The sequence below is a fragment of the Homo sapiens genome, chromosome 12 (genome assembly GCF_000001405.40).
Source record: "Homo sapiens chromosome 12, GRCh38.p14 Primary Assembly".
Classification (NCBI taxonomy): domain Eukaryota; kingdom Metazoa; phylum Chordata; class Mammalia; order Primates; family Hominidae; genus Homo; species Homo sapiens.
In genome coordinates this window covers 126,969,605-126,991,775 of record NC_000012.12, presented here as the reverse complement: position 1 = coordinate 126,991,775, position 22,171 = coordinate 126,969,605, and the positions used below count along the sequence as shown (strand labels likewise).

At 40.3% G+C, this 22,171-nt stretch overlaps 2 long non-coding RNA genes across 4 annotated transcripts in view; one reads left to right on the top strand and one right to left on the bottom strand.

Annotated features, from left to right (window-relative positions):
* Positions 1-14,915, bottom strand: part of LOC105370063 (uncharacterized) — a 51,177-nt gene extending 36,262 nt beyond the window's left edge. The window contains exons 1-4 of one of the 3 annotated variants that reach the window (XR_945517.2): positions 14,850-14,915; positions 12,803-13,003; positions 10,472-11,512; positions 8,977-9,250 (exon numbers count right to left, since the gene is read on the bottom strand). This is a non-coding gene — a long non-coding RNA (uncharacterized LOC105370063). Of the gene's footprint in view, positions 1-8,976; positions 9,251-10,471; positions 11,513-12,802; positions 13,004-14,849 lie in introns of those variants that run through there. The other 2 variants (XR_007063519.1, XR_007063518.1) reach the window with 2 other exon arrangements.
* The window catches only part of LINC02405 (long intergenic non-protein coding RNA 2405), a 145,171-nt gene that overhangs the window by 68,622 nt on the left and 54,378 nt on the right, over positions 1-22,171 (top strand). Inside the window, exon 4 of the long non-coding RNA NR_104646.1 lies at positions 15,859-15,937. This is a non-coding gene — a long non-coding RNA (long intergenic non-protein coding RNA 2405). The remainder of the gene's footprint in view (positions 1-15,858; positions 15,938-22,171) is intronic.

Below are 22,171 nucleotides of genomic sequence, written 5' to 3'. Positions count from 1 at the left end.
AAACCCCCATGACAAAAGTTTACCTATGCAACAAAAGTTTACCTACATAACAAACCTGCACATGTACCCCCAAACTTAAAATAAAAGTATATATATACTTGTTTTATACTATATATATATATATTTTTTTTGTTGTTGTTGGAGGGGGGATGGAATCTCGCTCTGTCACGCAGGCTGGAGTGCAGTAGCATGATCTCGGCTCACTGCAAACTCCGCTTCCTGGGTTCAAGCGATTCTCCTGTCTCAGCCTCCCAAGTAGCTGGCATTACAAGCACACACCACCACGCCCAGCTAATTTTTGTATTTTTAGTAGAGATGGGGTTTCACCGTGTTGGCCAGGCTGGTCTTGAACTCCTGACTTCAAGTGATCCACCTGTCTCGACCTCCCAAATTGCTAGAATTACAGGTGTAAGCCACAGTTTCCAGCCAATAAAAGTATTTTTTAAAAGAAGGAAAAGCTACAGTGTAGAGAAAGTCTAAGAGGTTGAAATCTGATTGAGTCTGAGAGGACAACAAATACAACTCACTGAAAGAAAAGTATATTTGATCTAAGATCTCATGGATAAGTAGGAGTCAATGGAGCAAAAGAACAGCATTCCAGGCAGAGGGAACAGCATGTGCGTAGGCTCTGAGGCTGTAGAATATTGAAAAGGAACCAGACCCAGCAGGAATTATCATCACCATCATTTTATAAATGGGAAAACCAAGGCACAGAGACATTCAGCCACATGTCTAAGATCACATGGCTTGTAACTGATAGAGCCAGAGTTTGAATTCAGATGTTTTGAGTTCAAATCTTTTATTTTTCTACCCCTATATCATTATGGCATCAGTTATCATGTTTTGTTTTTAGGTGATTTAATATTTAAAATCATATTTGGCTGCAAAAAATAGTTCTGCAAAACTATTTGGCTGCAAAATGGTTCAAGTAAATATTTGGTTTGCCTTACTTATGTTATACATGTGATAAGACAAAGCTCCTTCCGGTTTTTTGCTTCACCATCTATTTTAGCTCATGGATCCTGGGTTACAAATAGCTGCTGTACCTGTAGGCATTAAGGTCTTGTTTCTGATGAGGACAAAAGAAGACAGAAAAAAAGAAGGAAAAGGAAGGGAAGGTAAAAAATTCATGGAAACTGAATCTGTTCCTCTTTATCCCCAGAGACACTGGAATGTTTCCAGAGAGGCATATCATTGGTTTCCACTTACAGTGGCTATGTTCTACAGCCTCTCCTGACTACAAGGGAGATGGAGAAATTGCATAGTATTGTCACCATCTTGCAAAACGTCAGCACTTTGGAATAAGGAAGAATGTAGAACGACGTTTCATGGGTGATAAAGGCATCTTCTGGGAAGGAACAAGTTGCAACTGAACACAGCAGGCATCTTCTTTGGAGGTGCTTCTAAGACATTTACACCAGGTTCCACTCTCCTAGGAGGCAGTTAGGAAGGAGTTTGCAGGATAACACAAGTGACTTGCTGCCTTTGGTGTGGAAAAGCAGCTCAGAGGAACTTCCCCTAGGTCATCACCTTTGCGACCTGCCAACATGTTTAGTGGATGCTATCTTGGTTGGGTGATCTTCATATCCTTTGCCTCTTTTTTCTGGCATTACTCTGCATTGTATGGGGTGGTGCCCAATTCCAGATTGAATTTCCCAGGTAATCCAGAGATTATCAGGGAGGAGATAGGGAAAAGCCAGGACTTTCATCTTCCACCCTCTCTGCCTTATGGGACATCTTTGTCAAAATGCTCCCAGCATCTCCTACCTGCCTCCAGCTCTCTGAAAGAGGTTCACTTCCATTCCAACTTCTCAAGGCCGGCCCTGCTCCTGGCTGTAATAACATTGCATCTTCCCTCTGTTTCTCCAGCTGAGAGGTGGCAGTGGCTTCCTCTGGTGGCTGGCAGAGTTGATTGGATCTTCCTTCACAAGTTTCCAAGGCTTAATTTGCTTTTCAAAATCCATCAAAGTGAATGTCTTTCTTTAACCCTCGTTGGAGAGATGTGTCAACCATAAACTGCCCGTAGGAGCAATGTGATACTGCTTGATTCCACAACCATTTGTGTGATTTGGGAGCATGGTTTTGCTTGATGTGTACATTCTTAACATGATGAATAGAATTGCAGAGGTGACAGAATAGAGAGAAATTGTATAGCTACTTGAAAGCCTGCCCATGCATTTATTTCCCCAGACAGACCAGCTTCATGCCTCCTGACTGATGCATCTATTACAAATGGGAGGCAGGATGGAGGATACAGAGGGTGGAAAAAAGAGAGCAGTGAAATGTTGATTCAAAAAGACAAAAAATGTAAAATAAAAGGATTTTGCATTCTAAAAATCCACGTGAGGCTTCTAGGGCAAATCCATTAGGGGAATTTTCTCAGTATGCACTGCCAGAAATTCTGTTTTAGCTTGCCTCTTAAGTGGACATTTTGCTTAAAAGGCAGAAAATATATTTCTAATCAAAGGGAAACCTTATATTCATGTCTGCTTTTAAATGAGAGCCTCAAAATCGAAATTGTTTGCCTGTACTGTAGGTCTGAATGACACTTCAGCTGGGGTATGCTGACAAGTGTTTAATAATTGGCTCTCCAGTGAGAAAAACCTCTGGTTTACAGTTTGCCATTTTCTTTGGTGTAAATACTTTCACGCTGGCCAATTTCAGACAACTGCCATGACAGTGCTGAGCATTGAGTTGGGAAGAGATGCGCAGCAGCCCAGCATTGTATAAGATCACCACCCTTCATACACAATAGATGCAGACCAAATAGAAACAACCTTGATATCACAGACGTTAAGAAAAGTTAGTAAAAAGTCTTGAAATTTTATTTAAAAATAAGTAATAAAAATTGTTACTTTTGTTTTTAATGCACTTTATTTAGTTGTAAGTTTATATTGCTGTCAAGATTTGATTACTTCATAGAAAAGTCAGTTACTAAAAGTTATTAAAGCAAAGGACCTCTTCAGGTTTCTGCTTAGTTAGTTCAGCCTGATAGTAATGATATTAATCTTACCTTCTGTATTAGTCCTTTTTCACACTGCTGTAAAGAACTACCTGACACTGTGTAATTTATAAAGAGAGGACGTTTAATTGACTCACAGTTCCGCCTGGCTGGGGAGGCCTCAGGAAACTTACATTCATGATGGAAGGTGAAGGGAGAGCAAGGCATGTCTTACATGCATCGGGAGAGAAGAGAGAGAGAGAGAAAGGAGAAATGCCAGACACTTACCAAACAGCGGGCTCTCGTGAGAACTCACTATTATGAGAACAGCATGGAGGAACCTGCCCCCATGATCCAATCACCTCCCATGAGATTTGTGTGGGGATGCAAAGCCAAACTGTATCACTTTCTTCATTTTTTAAATTGAATTTTGCTTCCAATTGTATAGCCATGTTTGGTTTCATATCCCCATGGCATGTTCTCATACCTTCCTGGGAACTCAAATAATTGACTCTCCCTCTTCCCTCTGTGGGTTTGCTGCTTGGTGTCATTCCTCAGCAGCTTGGAAAACCTCTGGAAAACTCCAGGCTCCTCACTATGTCTGAAAACAGACCTGGAGGGAAGTGCAAAATGAAATATTTCACAAAACTTTTTCTTATACAATGACTAGGAGATGGTGAGAGCTATCCTTCCTCTTTAAATATACTAAATGTGGTATAGAGTGGAAAACGTTCCTATCCAGTAATGGAGTAAAGGTCGAGTTATGACTTGGGTGTCAGTCATATTAAATTAATGTAGCCTCATAAGATTCTGTCTCCCAATTATGGCCCTTTCTGGCATCTCAGTTAAATGTGGTCTACGGTGAAGAGACGGTTTCTCGGCAACAATTTTGTGCTTTTATTTCCCAAATAACTATTGATTTGAAGACTACAGACCGTGTCTTCCTCAATTTTTCAACCAAATGAATTCAATGGTTTCTTAATCCTAATTTTACACTATGGCCAGAGACCAAAGGTTGTGTCTTTCCTTTGAATATCTCCATTGTGAAAGGAACAGAACTCCAATTTCATGGTCTGAAAAACCTTCAGAGAGAGAACTGTAAACAGGGAGCAACACCATGATCTCCCTTGAAAAATCTGAAGCAGAATATTCAAATTGGTTTCGCATATTATCTTTTCATATTTCACTCAATTCTTGCTATTGCAGGTCGAAGAGTAGAAATGTTAAGGACGATGCAGAAAACATTGCAATACACTTTTCAATTGAGGTCTTACTTCAGGCAAAATTTTAAAGAAGCTACAGACTACTTCTGGTACCTCATTTTGCTTTTATAATATTCTAAGTTTATCTCTTCTCCTCAGCATCTTGTGAAATAAGAGTTTATTATGTGTCAGCTCTGAACCATGCTTATCACTGATGCTGTAGAAACAAATAAAAGTAAATATAATCCTTTCCCTCAAGGAACCCATAGTCTATTGGAAAGACAATCAAGTAACCATTCTATGATGATGCAACCTCTCTGATAGAAGCTTCCCTCTAAATCAGAGATCAGAAAACAGGAGCCTGTGGGCCCAATCAAGACTGGCTACCTGCTCTTATAAATACCTGCTCTTTGCAAATGTTTTATTGAGACACAGCCATGTTCTGTATGCACTGCCTATGTCCACTCTGCACTGCAAAGGCAGAATTAAGTTGTTGCAACAGAGACACATTGCTCCTGAAGCCAGAAATATTTACTGGTCCTTCCTTTTTTTTTTAACTTTTATTTTAGGTTCAGGGATACATGTGAAGGTTTTTTACACAGGTAAACTTGTGTCGGGGGGTGTCGTACAGATTATTTCATCACTCAGGTATTAAGCACAGTTCCCAATAGTTATCTTTTCTGCCCCTCTCCCTCCTCCCAACCTCCACCCTCAAGTCGACCCTGGTGTATGTTGTTTCCTTCTTTGTGTTCATAAGTTCTTATCACTTGGCTCCCACTTATAAGTGAAAACATATGATATTTGGTTTTCTGTTCCTGTGTTAGTTTGCTAAGGATAATAGCCTCCAGCTCCATCCATGTTCCTGCAAAAAAAATTTCATTTTTTGTTATGGCTGCATAGTATTCCATGGTGTATATGTACCACATTTTCTTTATCCAATCACTGATGGGCATTTAAGTTGATTCCATGTCTTTGCTATTGTGAATAGTGCTGTAATGAACATATATGTGCAGGTATCTTTTTAACAGAATGATTTATATTCCTCTGGATATACATCCAGTAATGGGATTGCTAGGTCAAATGGTAGTTCTGCTTTCAGCTCTTTGAGGGGATCACCAAACTGCTTTCCTCAATCTACCTGGTTTTTTAAAGAAAATGTGCAAACTCACACTCTAAAGCATTGGCTCTTAAACTTCAGCATATATCAGAATCACCTGGAGAGCTTGGTGAAATGCTAATTGGTGGGTTCCATGGCACTTTTGATTCTGTAGATCTGGGGTAGAGCCCAAAGATTCACATTTCTAGTGTGGACCCAGGTAATGGTTATGCTGTTAATGAGAGAACTACATTGAAAAACACTAATGTTAAAATTTAACACATTTTTGGATATTGTAAGTAAACCTAACTGGCAAATGTGTGAAGCACACAGCTTGTTTTTTCTGTACCACTCCTTTGTTCCAATCAGAAATGTTTCTCTGTAGCCCGAATAAATATAGCTTGTTTACATGCTCAAGAATGTGGTAGGGTAAAGGAGGGAGGAACACAAGGCTAGATACTTGATATGGTTTTGCTGTGTCCCCACCCAAATCTCATCTTGAATTGTAGCTTCCACAATTCCCATGTGTTGTGGGAGGGATCCAGTGGGAGGTAATTGAATCATGGGGGTGGATCTTTCCTGTGCTGTTCTTGTGATAGTGAAGAAATCTCATGAGATCTGATGGTTTTATAAGGGGAAGTTTCCCTGCACAAGCTCTCTTTTTGCCTGCTGCCATCCATGGAGGACATGACTTGCTCCTCCTTGCCTTCCACCATGATTGTGAGGCCTCTCCAGCCATGCAGCCATGTGGAACTGTGAGTCCATTACTCCTCTTTCTTGTATAAATTACCCAGTCATGGGTATGTCCTTATTAGCAATGTGAAAATGGACTAATACAGTAAATTGGTATTGGTAGAGTGGGGTGCTGCTGTAAAGATACCTGAAAATGTGGAAGTGACTTTGGAAATGGGTAACAGACAGGAGTTAAAACAGTTTGGAGGGCTCAGAAGAATACAGGAAAATATGGGAAAGTTTGGACTTCCTAGAGACTTGTTGAATGGCTTTTCCCAAAATGCTGATAATGAGATGGACAATAAAGTCCAGTCTGAGGTGGTCTCAGATGGAAATGAGGATCTTGTTGGGAACTAGAGTAAAAGTGACTCTTGTTATGTTTTAGCAAAGAGACTGGCAGCATTTTGTCCCTGCCCTAGAGATTTGTGGAACTTTGAACTTGAGACAGATGATTTAGGGTATCTGGCAGAAGAAATTTCAAAGCAGCAAAGCATTCAAGATATGACTTGGGTGTGTTAAAGGGATTCAGTTTGATAAGGGAAGCAGAGCATAAAAGTTTGAAAAAATTTGCAGCCTGATGATCTGATAGAAAAGAAAAACCTATTTTCTGAGAATAAATTCAAGCTGGCTCCAGAAATTTGCATAAGTAACAAGGAGCCAAATGTTAATCCCCAAGACAATGGTGACAGTGTTTTCAGGGCATGTCAGAAGTCTTCAAGGCAGCCCCTCCCATCACAGGCCTGGAGGCCTATGAGCTAAAAATGGTTTCATGGGCCGGGCCCAGGGTCCCCATGCTGTGTGCAGCCTAGGGACTTGGTGCCCTGCATCCCAGACCCTCTAGCCATGGCTGAAAGGGGCCAATATAGAGCTAAGACCATGGCTTCAGATGATGCAAGACCCAAGCCTTGGTAGCTTCCACATGGTGTTGAGCCTGCAAGTGCACAGAAGTCAAGAAATGGGGTTTGGGAACCTCTGTCTAGATTTCAGAGGATGTATGGAAATGCCTGGATGCCCAGGCAGAAGTTTGCTGCAGGGGTGGGGCCCTTATGGAGAATCTCTGCTAGGGCAGTGAAGAAGGAAAACATGGGGTTGGAGCTCCCACACAGAGTCCCTACTGGGGCACTGCCTATTGGGCTGTGATAAGAGGGCCACCATCCTTCAGACCCCAGAATGTTAGATCCACCAACAGCTTGCACTGTGTACCTTGAAAATCCACAGACACTCAACACCAGCATGTGAAAGCAGCTGGGAGGGAGGCTGTACCCTGCAAAGCCACAGGGGTGGAGCTGCCCAAGTCTATGGGAACCCACATTTTGTATCAGCATGACCTGGTTGTGAGACGTGAAGTCAAAGGAGAACATTTTGGAGCTTTAAGATTTGCCTTCCCCGCTGGATTTCAGACTTGTATGGGGCCTGTAGCCCCTTTGTTTTGGCCAATCTTTCCCATTCAGAATGGCTGTATTTACCCATTGCCTGTAACCCCATTGTATCTAGTGAGTAACTAACTTGCTTTCAATTTTATAGGATCATATGCAGAAGGTACTTACCTTGTCTCAGATGAGACATTGGACTGTGGACTTTTGAGTTAATGCTGAAATGAGTTAAGACTTTGGGGGACTGTTGGGAAGGCATAATTGGTTTTGAAATGTGAAGACATGAAATTTGGAGGGCCAGGGAAGAAATGATGTGGTTTGACTGTGTCCCCACCCAAATCTCATCTTAAATTTTATCTCCCACAATTCTTACGTGTTGTTGGGGAGACCTGGTGGGAGGTAATTGAATCATGGTGGCAGGGTTTTCCCATACTGTTCTTGTGATAGTGAGTAAGTCTCATGACTTACTCACAGTTTTATAAGGGGGAGTTTCCCTGCACAAGCTCTCTCTTCGCCTGCTGCCATCCATGGAAGATGTGACTTGCTCCTCCTTGCCTTCCACCATGATTGTGAGGCCTCCCCAGCCATGTAGAACTGTGAGTCCATTAAACTCTTTCCTGCATAAACTACCCAGTCTCTGGTATGTCTTTATTACCAGTGTGGAAACAAAATAATACCATACTTTTGCTTATTTTTGGTTTGTTTGTTTTTATAGGCTTTTAAGTTCAAGGAAGTAAAGGAATGTAAAGTTAGATAGGGGTCCTTTATTTACAAAGACAAAAATGATGAGAAGTCTTCCAATGTGATTCTTAATCAGATGTTTGGCTTATCAATGACCTACAGTTAGTCTAGGTCTTAGAGGAGCCAGATAACTCTACTTCTAGAAGTTTAGGCATCATCACTCTGTCTAAGTGCCACCTCTCTAGCAGTAGATCATGGTTAGGTTTATTCCAATCACTGTTTCAGGTACTCACTCTCTCATCCTCTCTGTAGCTATAGGTGACCATATGACCCAATCCAGCCAATGAGGAGCAAAATGAATTTATCTAGCAGTGTTTTGGGTTAAGATTATTCATTTAAGAAAATACTGATATGAGAATTAGCTCCATCTTCTCTTCTTTAGATGCTGCTATAGGAGAATATACTTACAATCTTCTTGCAAACATTAGGTGGGATCCTAGAGAACCCAGATGTTTATCCAAGGTCCTGTCACCATTTGACTGCTGACATACATAAAACATGTGCCTCCACATTTTTTATAACATAAAAAATTAAACATCTTTCTTGTAAGACACTGTCAGTAGTAGGTTTTTTTTTTCCAGTTAAAATAGCCCTGACTATACATTTGCTTACTTTTCTTGAGCTGAAAAGAAATTATAATCTAACTTCATCTGAGTATTATTCAATGTGGTACATAGAAAATGAAACTTAAAAGAGAAACTAAAACATGATTATTAACACATAATTGGTTTCAACATTTACCAACAAACACCAGTACAGGAGGATACCTTTGCCCCTTAAATGATGGATCAGCACATTTTCCCTGAGTTTCTTTTCCTCAGATTATATCAAGGCTTTGGTGAAATCCATCTGTCCTGATACTTTGGTGGTTGGTGTTCTTGGCAGCTGAAATAATTTGGCAAGCTGGTGTCCATTTTTATCATAGACTTAAGTAGATATAATCAATCTTTGGCTTGCTATTTCACGTTGAGAGTACATTCTTGATTCATGCCTTATTTGGAGAAGCTGCCAACATCCACTTATCACACGTAAAATTACGGGAGAAGAGAGGAAACAAAGTCATCAAGTCTCTGGAAGTCAGAGTATCCATTCTCAGCAAGATTGTTAGATTCACAATCTATGATTCTGAAGAATGAGTGTACTTTATTCGATAGAAAGTGCAATCCTGAAAATTCAAAATTATGTGGGCTTTGGGGTTATTTTGTATGGGTTCTGATTTTATTTTTGTTATCTAATAGTGTAATGACTTTAGGCAAGTCAGAATTGGTCTATATTTTAGTTTCATCAGTAAAACTGGAAATTTGTATTGCGGAATTTAAGTGAAATAATGTGGATAAATCACAGGAACCTAAAACCGATTTTCTTAATAGAGAGATAGATATAGGTAAACATATAGATAGAAAGATATATAATGTATGTAATATGTATGCAATAGTATTACAATTATATTGTATTACAATATATGTAATACGTATACTATTGCACATGTATATGTAATATGTACATGTGCAATAGCATACATATTACATACACATATTTAATAGTATACATATTGCATACACATATTACATACACATATGTACTTTATTTGATAGAAAGTGCAATCCTGAAAATTCAAAATTATGTGGACTTTGGGGTTATTTTGTATGGTTTCTGATTTTATTTTTGTTATCTAATAGTGTAATGACTTTAGGCATACACATATGTATAGGTAATATGTATACTATAGCTCAGCTACAATATAAATTATTACTAGAGAGAGCTAGAAATCCTGCTGATGAAGTAACAAGAGTGAAGAGGCTAAAGGTGGTTCTTTTGATATTAGCAGCCACATCCAGGTGAGATATTAAATTTGCATCACTGTCACCTGACTTCAAGTTTTTATCTTTATCTTTGATTTTCAGTTGTTTGAATATGGTTTGTCGAAATAAAATATAAATTACTAAATGTTTAAAATAATGATTAAAATGAATTTAAAGTAGTTGAAGTAAAATTTACCAAAACTGAACCACAGAGAGAAAAGAGAATGAAGACACAGAGCATACTTTTCATATCCAGTGGGGTGATTTCAGTCTAATACGCATGTAATTGGAAATCCAAAAGAAGACGGCAAAAAAGATGGAGGGGAAAAATTATTCAAAGAAGGAATAGCTGCGAATTTTCCAAAAAGAATCAAACCATTAATCCAGAAACCTCAGAGAAGAACAAGTGGTTTTTGTTTTGTTTTTTTTAAGCTAAACAAATTATATTTGAATTCTGAAAATCAACAATAAAGACAAAAACTTGAAGGCAGGAGGCAAGTAGCAAATGGAAAGACATTTCAGGGGAAAGGACTTTGAGTCAGGATGCAATTAGTGAAGAATGAGTCCACCTGTGACTGATTTACCTGTTTAATTTTCTCCAGAGCGTCGAATCCGATAAAGAAAAAAAAAACGCTTGCACTCTCGGAAGCTTTCTTGTTCTTGCCACTCCTTCTCTGTGTCTTGTTCTTCCGACTGCAGCTTCGGTGGATCTGGGGCTGGTTCAAATTGCTGACCTGAGGATTCCCAGCATGGATCTAATGTCTAATGAGGATGAGTTGGTGTCCCAAACACTCATGGAAACATCCACCTTTATGGCTGCAGAATCTCTTCAGCACTGATGTGAACTTTACATGGAGGAGAACTCATTAAAAACGTGCGTTTCTGGACCATCTCAAAGATTCTGATTGGAAGTTCTAGAGTCAGGCCCTGGAAGGTATATTATTCACACAGGATTCTTCAAGATTCTGATGTATGTGTCGTATTATTGAACCCTCATGGCACCACATTGAGTTAGATGCTATGACTATCCCCACTATACAGAACAGGAATGTTAAGCTCACAGGCCCAATATTCAAAACTAATAAGTAACAGAAATTGAGCTCAATTCCACACCTATCTGAGACCCAAAACCAGGTCTCCAAGTTGCTCTTAATCTTTTCCCCACACTGCCCATCCCTTCTTTCTGTCTCCTACCCTTGTAACATTGAGACAGGCAGTGGCTCTACCAGGGGAACTAGAACGTATTTCTTCCCCGGTCTGGAGATGCAGAACACTGAGCATAATAAGTGCTTCTCAAGCTTTAATATTCACTTGAATTACCTGGAGATCTTGTTAAATATGCAGATTTTGATCCAGTAGTTTTGGGATGGAACCCAAGGTTTGGTGCTCTTAACGAGCTCCCAGGTGTGGGTAGTTGCAAGTAGACGTACAAGTTTGTCTGTCAATAGTTAGACATTGTCTTCTCCTGAAAATCTTTCAGTTTTATCCGATTCAATAATGTGCGATTCAAGTAAATACAGACATTTAAATGCCACGCCCTTCAGCAAGCCTGGGACACAAGAAGGGAAAAACTTGTTCTTCAGAGGCTCGGTCAGTGTCTACTGGGAAGGCAGATGTGTTCAGCACTGTAACATAAACAGGAATCTTACATCAGTGTGTTAATTTTGGTCTTAAAAAAATAAACCTTTGATTAGAGCACAAGAAAGTGAAAGAGGAGTAGGGGGTATTAAGACTTGGACAGGGAAAGAAGGGATTTTGAGAAGAGTAATATTGGAATGAGTTTTTTAATTACTAGAAATTCAAAAAATAACAGAAACAGGCCGGGTGCAGTGGCTCACGCCTGTAATTCCAGCACTTTGGGAGGCTGAGGAGGTGGATCGTGAAGTCAGGAGTTCACGACCAGCCTGGCCAAGATGGTGAAACCCCATCTGTACTAAAAATACAAAAATTAGCCAGGTGTAGTGGCAGGCACCTGTAATCCCAGCTACTCAGGAGGCTGAGACAAAGAATTGCTTGAACTCAGGAGGTGGAGGTTGCAGTGAGCCGAGATCATGCCATTGCACTCCAGCCTGGGAGACAGAGGGAGGCTGTCTTAAAAAATAAATAAATAAATAAATAAATAAATAAATAAATAAATAAATAAATAACAGAAACAAAATACCACTCACTGACATGTATGCTTACACCTTATGTGCTTGGAATTTTGCATTGTGTTGTTAGCTCCATAGCAACCCTGTGATATCAGTATTATTATCCCCATTTATCAGATGAAGAACTTGAGGCTGAAACCGGTTAAGTAAACTCACCAAAGGAAACCCAGCCAGCATGAGGTGCAGCTCAGGTTTAAACCCACTGTCTGGCTCGCTGTCTGGCTCGAGAGTGACTTATGGAAGGAAGGGCATGAAGAAGGACCATGCCGCTGCACAAGTGTCCAGGGAACCTCAGGCCATTTCACAAGGACAAGCTCAGGCCAAGTGAGTCTGCCTCTAAGAAGAGAGACTGGGGAGGTGGAAGCAAGTTGCTTTGGTGGATTGGACAGCCATGCTGATGAGTCAGGGCTCTTGTTTGTGAGCAATCAGGGGCATTTCATGGTTCTTGATGAAGAGAGCAAAGATCAGCTGGTGGCCATCAAGCCGACCAAGAATTCTTTCCCAAGAATTTATAATAACTGGAATTTCTATACATCTCCAGAATGCATGCATGTCAAAACCCATTATGCAACCTTTGCTGACATCAAGGTGCCAAAACATCTACAAATGTAATAGCTACCATGACCTACATAACTAATACAGTCCAGGTTCAAATTACCCTTAAGCTCCTGACACAATCCTGTCACTTTCTAGATGCATCTGGAGAACCCGGAGAAACCTAGCGTAACCCTCCCATCTCAATCAGACTGAAAGGTCCATCAATACCACGAAGGACAATCCACCGCAGTGCACTTAGTCCTCTCTTGCTGAGATGCCCCTCTGCACTCGGCTGCAGCGTTTCTTTCCATCTAATACGATATTCCATTTCAAGCCTATGCTGTTGTTGGTAAATTCTTCTTGCTACCCATGAGCGAACCACTCTCTACTGCCAGGGCTGTGACACCTCGCCGGACACCTCGCCTGGCACTTGAGAAGGAAACAGCAAAATGATCAGAACTTTCAGAAAATTAGGCTCAGTATCCCCCTATCAATCAAAGAGAGGATACAGAAAATGTATATATGTACTATGCAATACTACTCAGCCATAAACAGGAACAAAATAATGGCATTTGCAGCAACCTGGATGGAGTTGGATATCATTATTCTAAGTGAAGCAACTCAGGAATGGAAAACCAAACATCATATGTTCTCACTTACAAGTGGGAGCCAAGCTATGAGGACACAAAGGCATAAGAATGATACAATGGACTCTGAGGACTCAGGGGGAAGGGTGGTAGGAGGAGGAAGGATAAAAGACTACACACTGGGTACAGTGTACACTGCTTAGGTGATGGGTGCACCAAAAATCTCAGAAATCACTACCGAAGAACTTATTCATGTAATCAAACACCACCTGTTCCCCAAAAACCTATTGAATTTTTTTAAACAATGGAATGGATTGACACAAGGAAGTAGAAGCCATAGGTTGGCATTCCCCCTAACTAAGAAGTTAACTATGAAATAATCAATGTAGTAAAAGTGTAATTCTATCTCTAAGAGACGTTGGTGAGGACCCGGCACAATGGCCAGGAAAAAAGCTCAGGGCTTCAAGTGAGGAAGGAATGGTGAGAGGGTTATGGTGGAAGCTGAATTAACAAGTTCTTTTCTAAATTTGTTTTTTTTTTTATTTTGCTGTACATTGACAATTCATACTTGCATACGTTTACGGGGTACAAAGTGATATTATGATCCATGAATACAGCGTTGAATAATTAAATCAAGTTAATTAGTATATCTATCATCTCAAATACTTAAATAGTTTTTGTGGTGAGAACATTTAACATTTACTCTTTTAGTGATGTTTCAATGTACAATACCCTGTTATTGACTATGTTCACCATGTTGTGCAATAGGTCTCAAAAAAATAAAAAGATTCCTCTTGTCTAACTGAGATTTGTACCCTTTAACCATCATCTGCCCATTACCATCTCCCCTCTAGCATCTGGAACCACCATTTTACTCTCTGCTTCTATAATTTGATTGTTTTGGATTCCACATATAAGTGAGAACTGCAATATTTATCTTTCTGTGCCTGGATCATTTCATTTATCATAATGTCCTCTAGTTTCATACCTGTTGTGGCAAATGGCAGAAATCCCTTCTGTTTTAAGGCTGCGTAGTATTCCATTGTGTATACACACACAAGGCACAAACACACATTTAAATTTTTAGATTTTTCACATTTTTAAAAATCCCTCCATCTGTTGATGGACACTCAGTTTGGTTCTGCATCTTGGCTGTTGTGGCTAGTGCTACAATGATCGTGGAAGTACAGAGATCTCATCGATAAACTAACTTCAAATCTTTTGGGTAAATACTCAGAAGTAGGATTGCTGGACAGTATGATAATGCTATTTCTAGTTTTTTGGAGAACTGCCATACCATTATCCTTAATAACTTTGTTAATTTGCATTTTCACCCACAGCACACAAGTGTTCTCTTTTCTCTATATCCTTGCTGCCTGCTGCTTCCTATTTTTTGGCTTTTTGATAATAACCTGAATTAACAAGTTTTAAAGATCCATTGCCTGTGGAACAAGAAAGGGAGGAAAAAATGTCAAATGACTAGAATGCTTTTAGTCCCTGATCCTGGGAAGGCGGTTATTGATACCCACAACCAGATTCCCTAAAGTGAGAAGAGCTTTGTGAGAGAAATCAAGCTCCCCTGAGGTCTGTGACTTTTGAAATGTCTTTAGGACATTGAAAACACTGATCTAGAGCCCCGAGGAGCAGCCACCTCTCAGCTCCAACATCCTTTCTATCTCACGTCCCACCTCTTCCATGAAGCGTGCCCTGACCCCTCAGTCTGCACTGTGTTGTCCGTCGCTGACCCATTGTTGTGGGTGGACACAGTGCCCTAGTGTTCTGTGATGCAGTCTCCTATTATCTCATATGTTGGGTTCCGCTGAGCTGAGCTCTCCCTCACTAGTGATGACATCTGTATTATTTATGTCTGAGAAGGTTGTGAACTCCTGAAGCTTCATCTGAGTTCCAGTCCCTGGGGATTTGGGGGAATTTAACTCCATTGAGGATTAGAAGGTCATTGCTTCTCTATGATTTTGGCTATGCCCTTGATGTCTCTAAGATGAAGAAGCAACAACAATGACAATCACAGGAACAATAAAAATCAATACTGGCTGCTAAATTTTCTCTGAAAATATTTATTGGGCTGTGCATGGTTTAAAGAAAATATATGGGTTTATATGATTTTTAGACAGGGTAAAATTCTCCAGTTGAAGAAAACTCCCACCATTCCTTATTGCCTTAATCCTTTCCAGTTCATCCACCCATCTGACTTCTGAAAGCACACGTCTTCAGCCCCTGACCTGAGGTCTGTCCTCTGTCCTGTGGTGATCTACCTGGCTCCCCTCACTAGTACCACACTTACTGCCTTCACACCAACTGGAGCTCTTAACAAGAATGGATCATATTCTTTTCTTTCTTCACCTTCTTTTTTAAATTGTCAGCAGTGAGGCATTATAATGAGTGTGTCTGTCACCAACGCTCCATAGGTTAGCATTCCCCCTTACTAAGAAGTTAACTATGAAATAATCAATGTAGTAAAACAGTGTAATTCTATCTCTAAACTACTAAACTTGGAAAAACACCAGATTCAATGGCATCTCATGCTAATCTGCCTGTGGAACAAAAACCCTGGATCCACAAGTTGAGACCCTCATACCATGCATTAGTATTCATTTAGTGATGTCTCCAGCAGACCCTGCTTACCTCCTTTTTGCTGGCTGACTCATTCCCGCTCATTTTCTCTTGTTATATTTGCAGGCTCACTGCCCAGTAGAAGCTGAAAAGATTCAGTATGAGTAAAAGAAGAGATCTGAAATTTGCAGCTTGTCATAGAAAGGTATTTGTTTTCTTTTTATTTATTTGTTTTAAACTTTGATTTTAGGTTCAAGGGTTACATGTGCAGGTTTGTTAATACAGGCAAACTCATGTCATAGGGGTTTGGGGTACAGACCATCTCATCTCTCAGGTAATAAGCATGGTACCCGACAGTTATTTTTCTTGATCCTCTGTCTCCTTCCATCTTCCTCCTTTAAGTAGGTCCCAGTGTTGGCTGTTCCCCTCTTTGTGTCTATTGGTTCTCATTATTTAGCTCCCCCATATAAGCGAGAACATGCAGTATTTGGTTTTCTATTTCTGCATTCTTTCACTAACGATAATGGTCTCCAGCTCCATCCATGTTCCTGCAAAGGACATGATCTCATTCATTTCACTGCTGCATAATATTCCATGGTATAAATGTACCATATGTTCTTTATCTAGTCTATTGTTGATGGGCATTGAGGTTGATTCCATGTCTTTGCTATTGCGAATAGTACTTCAGTGAACCTACGTGTACATGTTTCTTTATGGTAGAACAATTTATATTCCTTACTACCCAATAATTGGATTGCTGGGTCAAATGGTAGTTCTGTTTTTAATTCTTTGAGGAATCACCACACTGCTTTCCACAATTATGCGAGAAAGTTCAATAACACTCATCATCAGAGGCTTCTGTTTTGTAAAACAAGTATGTTGGTCTTTGAGTTATGCCTGGATATTTCCTGCTGGCCCCTCAAAGATGTATTTTTTTGTTAATCCTACTTCCTGCTCTGCACCCTGGGAGATGGAGGGCTGCAGTTTGCTGCCAGTTGTGGTCAGGCCATGAGAGAAACTCCCAGAAGGTCAGAGGGTGGCAGGAGAGAGCTCAGAGTGTTGATCCTCCTGGCTCTGCCCCAGTGGTGTCGCTGCTCAGCATTGCCGTTTATGCTCCTCAACATGAGGACACAGCCTTGTCCTTGAGGGAGGCTGTCTCCTGGATTTCTTCAGGACCTAGAACCAGCTCTCTTCCATTTCCCGCTTCAGGATGAAGAACAGTAGGGGCTTCTCCTGGGTGCTTCCCAATCTTGTTTTTGTTCCTGTTACACTAACAGGATCACTGTTAATTTTCCCAATCTCTTTAGTCACTCATTTGAATGAACTATTTCTCACAGCTATTCTAACTGATACAGGTTACTTTATTTATATTTTTGAAAATGACTCCCAAGGTGCTTCAGGATGTTTTACTTTATTTCATCTTAGCCTGTGCCTGGTGGCCGGTTTTGATGAATCTTGGATCCCTATTTCAGCATGAGGCGTTAGCATCTCTGGCTGCAATGAATGAAATGCAGCCATTCCGAGAAATATATGCACACAGTTTAGAAGTACCCACTGTCCTATAGCTCCCATTTACTAAATGAAAAGAGAATAACGCTGGAGGCTGCAAACCATCCCCGGCCTTCTGTCTGGATAGAGTGGTTATAAACAAAACAAAACAAAACAAAAAACAAATTTCTGTCCTGCACCTCAGAGACTCACACATCTTTGGAAATAAGTCTAGGTGTTTTCTGATGTTTTAAAATCCAATACAAAGTATTCCAAATGCAAGGAGACATATTGGATGGGGTGAGCTTAGTATGCACGCCTTAAGATGAGCGTTTATGCAAATTAGCAGGTCCACTTGAAGGAATCCCTTCCAGAGAATCTGATGAGTGAGCTCCCAGCTTTGTGGATGCCATCAACACTTGAAAACTACTGAAGCATCTGCAGGCATCGGCTGGGTCAGCTAGTTAGGAAGAAGCAGTAAAACAAACTACCTCTTCTCTATGGAACATATTTCCACTTGTGTAATTAAAGAGGTGTAGGCCTGTTTCTGAGTTAGAAGAAAAGGCATTTCCAAAGAAGCAATAGAAACAACTCGGATGCCTGCTGGTCCTATGTCTATGCAAGCGGAAGTTGTGTGGTTCCCACTCAGTGAATAATAGAGTTTATACCATACTTGCACTGCATTATAGCAGGCTGTTTGCTTCCTAACTCCCCCTTCCCTCAACTCTCTCTTTCATAGATTCTTCTTTCTTCTGCTTGTGCGCAGGATAGCATTGCTCTCATGGGTGCTGTTCACCAAACACAGGGACTCTTCACCTCATGGGCTAAGGATTGCTGGTGCTGGCTGGGTGAGGTCATGTGACTATTTCTGGTCAATGAATTTTCAGCAGAGTTTTTAAAATAAGTTTTTTCTTATTGATATATATTTGTACATTTTTTCCTTCCTTCCCTTCCCTTTCTCCTTCCTTCCTTCCCTCCCTCCCTCCTTTCTTTCTTTTCCTTCTTTCTTTCTCTTTCTTTCTTTCCTTCTTTCTTTCTTTCTCTCTTTCTCTATTTCTCTCTTTCTTTCCTTCTTTTGCTTTCTTTCTTTTAATTTCTTTCTTTCTTTCATGGAGAGTCTTGTTCTGTCTTCCACATTGGAATGCAGTGGCACAATCTTAACTCACTGCAGCCTCAAACTCCTGGGCTCAGGCAGTTCTCTCACCTTGGCCTCCCAAAATGCTGGGATTATAGAAATTATAGTGAGCCATTGTACTCAGCTATTGTACATATTTTTGAGATACATGTAATATTTTGATACATGTATACGATGTGTAATAGTCAAATCACAGTAACTGGAATATCCGTAACTTCAAATATGTATATTTTCTTTGTGTCAAAAACATTCCAATTCTTCTCTTCTAGCTATTTTGAGATATAGAATAAATTATTATTAGCTATGGTTATGCTACTGACCTATCAAACACTGGGTCTTGCTTCTTCTGTCTGACTATGTATTCTATCCATTGATCAACCTCTTTTCAACGTCCCTTTTCCATACCCTTCTCTGCATCTGGTTTTATAATTACTGAGAAGCTTTTTAAAAGGTACTGATGTCTAGAACATTGAATTAGTGTCTCTCAGGATGAGATCTAAGAAACAGTGATATTTTAAATCTCCTGAGTTGATTTTAGTATACAACTGATGTTGAGAACAGTTAGTTAGACCACAATAAAGAAAACAAAGAGAACATTCCTGGGCTTGGGTAGACTATGTTAATGGGTATAGTGCACATGTCACATTTATGTTTTTTATTTTAATGTTGGTGCCAATCACTGATGTCATTTCTATGAATAAAAGTTATTGCATTTCACAAGCAACATCCAAGAGCCCCTTTGGTCTATGGCACCTCCAAGAGTTATAAAGAAAGCCAAAGGCAGCCAGATGCAGGCATGCCCAGTCTCTCCTCCTTTCTGTCATGTTTTCTGTGATGCCATCATTGCCTAGGACACCACTGCACACATGGTCTTCTGATTCAGCTCTGTTGTTTCTCAAGTGCTACACCTTAACAAAGACAAGTACTGAAAGTGATTTAATTGAATTCAACATGGTGGTGAGAGGGGTGCCCTCCTAACTTACCAATAGCTTCTCTCCCTTCAGGTGCGGTCTAAAGATCCTTTGTCCCACCACACAGGAAACCAAAGATGCATCCTGGAGATTTAGCAAAGCTTAACCTCATATTACCTGAATATCTTTGTTTGAGACAGAATGAAGTGGCCATCTGTCCATTTCCCCTCAGGACTGAAAGCCCTGGCTTGTAGGTCAACCTGATCCTCATGTATAGATTCCTGTGGTCCCAAACTTGGGTCCTTTGTTGAGCAACAATGGCTGAAATCTTCATCCTTTGTATTATCTCTAAGAGCTTCCTTTATCCCAATGGTTTTAAGGATGGAATTTCTTATTTTCAAAAAAAGTATCTTTCATTCTTTAGTGAATAAATAAAATGACCATTCTCATACCTTGAGATTCTGCTCTGCCTCCCCTAGATACACTAGGGTAGGCATGTCCACTATTTCCAAGCTCTCTTCACTGAGAATTATTACTCTATTTTCAGATAGCCACTAGACTTGAATACTATGTCGAAAAGGGGTCAGCAAAGTCTGCCCACAAACAAATTCAGTTTGGGGGTCAATTCCAGCTGATAGCCTGTTTTTGTTCAGCCTTTGAACTAAGAGTTGGTTTTACATTTTTAAAAAAGTTGTATAGGAGAAGAAAAGGAAGAGGAAAGAAAGGGAGGAGGAGATGAAGAGGATGAAAAGAAAGAGGAGGAGGAGCAAAAGAAGGGGAGAAAGAGAAGGAGGAAGGAGGCAGAGGAGGAATATGAGGAGGAGGAGAAGAAGAGGAAGGAGAAGAAGAGGAAGAAGAAGAAGAAGAAGCAGCTGTAAAACCCAAGAAACTTAAACTGTTTGCTATTCAACTCTACAGCAAAAGTTTACTAACCCTTTGTTTGAGTCTGCATTTTTTAGTTTGCATATGAAAAATAAGGTCTGTCTAATCTTATCCCAGTATTCAATTATTTTTAGTAGTGAAATGCTTTACCAAAATAAAAATACACACCCCTCCAGAGTATATCACCTGCTGTACGCCCTTAAGAGTCACTGATCAATTTTTCCTGCCTGAATCCCCAGGTAGGACTCAACATAATAACCTCTATTGACCCCCACTAAATATGTACTAGACTCCGCTTTACATAAATTGCATCATTTAACCCAAAGAGGTAAACTACTGATAACATACCTATTTTACAAGTAAGGAAATTGATGCACAGAGAAGGTGGTGACTTGCCCCAGGTCCCAGAGCTACTCCATGCTGGAGCTGGGGCTTGGCTGCAGAGCTTGGGCTTGTATCACCCAACCAGCTGGTGTTTCTCATAGTCCATTGCTGTTTCCCCTGGATCCATTGCCCCTCTGTTTTCACACTGAGCATAGTGCAAGTAATTGCATCACACATGTTGTGTAGTACTATAACTTTCTCTGTCTTAAGCTGTCTTGCCAACAGACTGTGAGGTTGCTGAGGATGAGCCGACACTGAGCATAGTGCAAGTAATTGCATCACACATGTTGTGTAGTACTATAACTTTCTGTCTTAAGCTGTCTTGCCAACAGACTGTGAGGTTGCTGAGGATGAGCCGGTGTCTCAGTCATCTCTCTTCACTACCTGAAACAAAACCTAAATGTATTCAGTGCTCAGCAATGCTGCTTAGAATGAATGGATAGATAGGTGCATCAATGAATGGCAGGGAGTCATTTCTCTGATTGTGATTGCTCACTGTCTTCTGTGCTGAATGGGCTGAGGGTAGACAGCCCACAGCCCCTGACTCACAAAGAAACAGGCTCACTCACTATAAAGATTATTGGGAGATGATAATTTTCAGAGAAGGAATCATTGATATCTTCTGCCCGGAATCCCATGGCTTTAGAGACATGCGTTTTTGGGGAGAGAATTTCACAGATTCTCTTCTTCACTGTTTACAAACAACTGAGCCAACTAGTGGGGTTGATGAGTGTGTAGATTTTCCAAGGTCATAGTAGGTAACATTTGCATGTCATAATATGTAACATTTGTAGGTCATAGTGTGTAACACTTGTGTGTTATAGTATATAACATTCGTAAGTCACAACATATAATATTTGTAGGTCATAACGTGACATTTGCATGTCATGGTATGTAATATTTGTAGGTCATAGCATGTAACATTTGTAGGTCATATTATGTAACACTTGTAGGTCATAATAGGTAACATTTGTTAAGTAAGTTGGTCCACAGCCTGCTTCTCCCATCTACTCACCTCCCTGTAACAATGTGCAGGCTGTTTTACTTGTTGCTCATATTTCAACCTATTAATTAATTTTTAATATTTGTAAGAGTCAGCATAAATTCCCCAAGATAAAGTTGATTTCAGTAATAGTCATAAGTAATGTATAAAACATAACATGTTCTGTTTTTGTTTTTGTTTTTGATACAGAGTCTCACTCTGTCACCCAGGCTGGAGTGCAGAGTGCAGTGGTGTGATCTCAGCTCACTGCCACCTTCTCCTCCTGGGTTCAAGTGATTCTCCTCTGTCTTAGCAATTGCTCAACATGCCTTTTGCTTCTTCCAGACATTAGAATTTAAATGTTATTCAATACAACATTCAGCAGCAGTGGGTTTTTCCTGCAGCTCCTTCACCTGGCATTCCTGAACTCTCAGGAAGCGTTCCCCTTTTATTTCCTTTCTTTATACAATGGGAATTCCCTGAGCAGACATGTTCAACTGTACTCCTATTGGGAGCAGTACTGACTTTTCATTGTTTCTTTCCCCCGGAAAACTGACACCCCCATTAAATATGCCCTCTGCCACCAGGCCTGTGAGAGCAACATGGGATATGCTCAGATCTCGACGAAGAAAACAGCAAAAGAAACCACCATCAGAG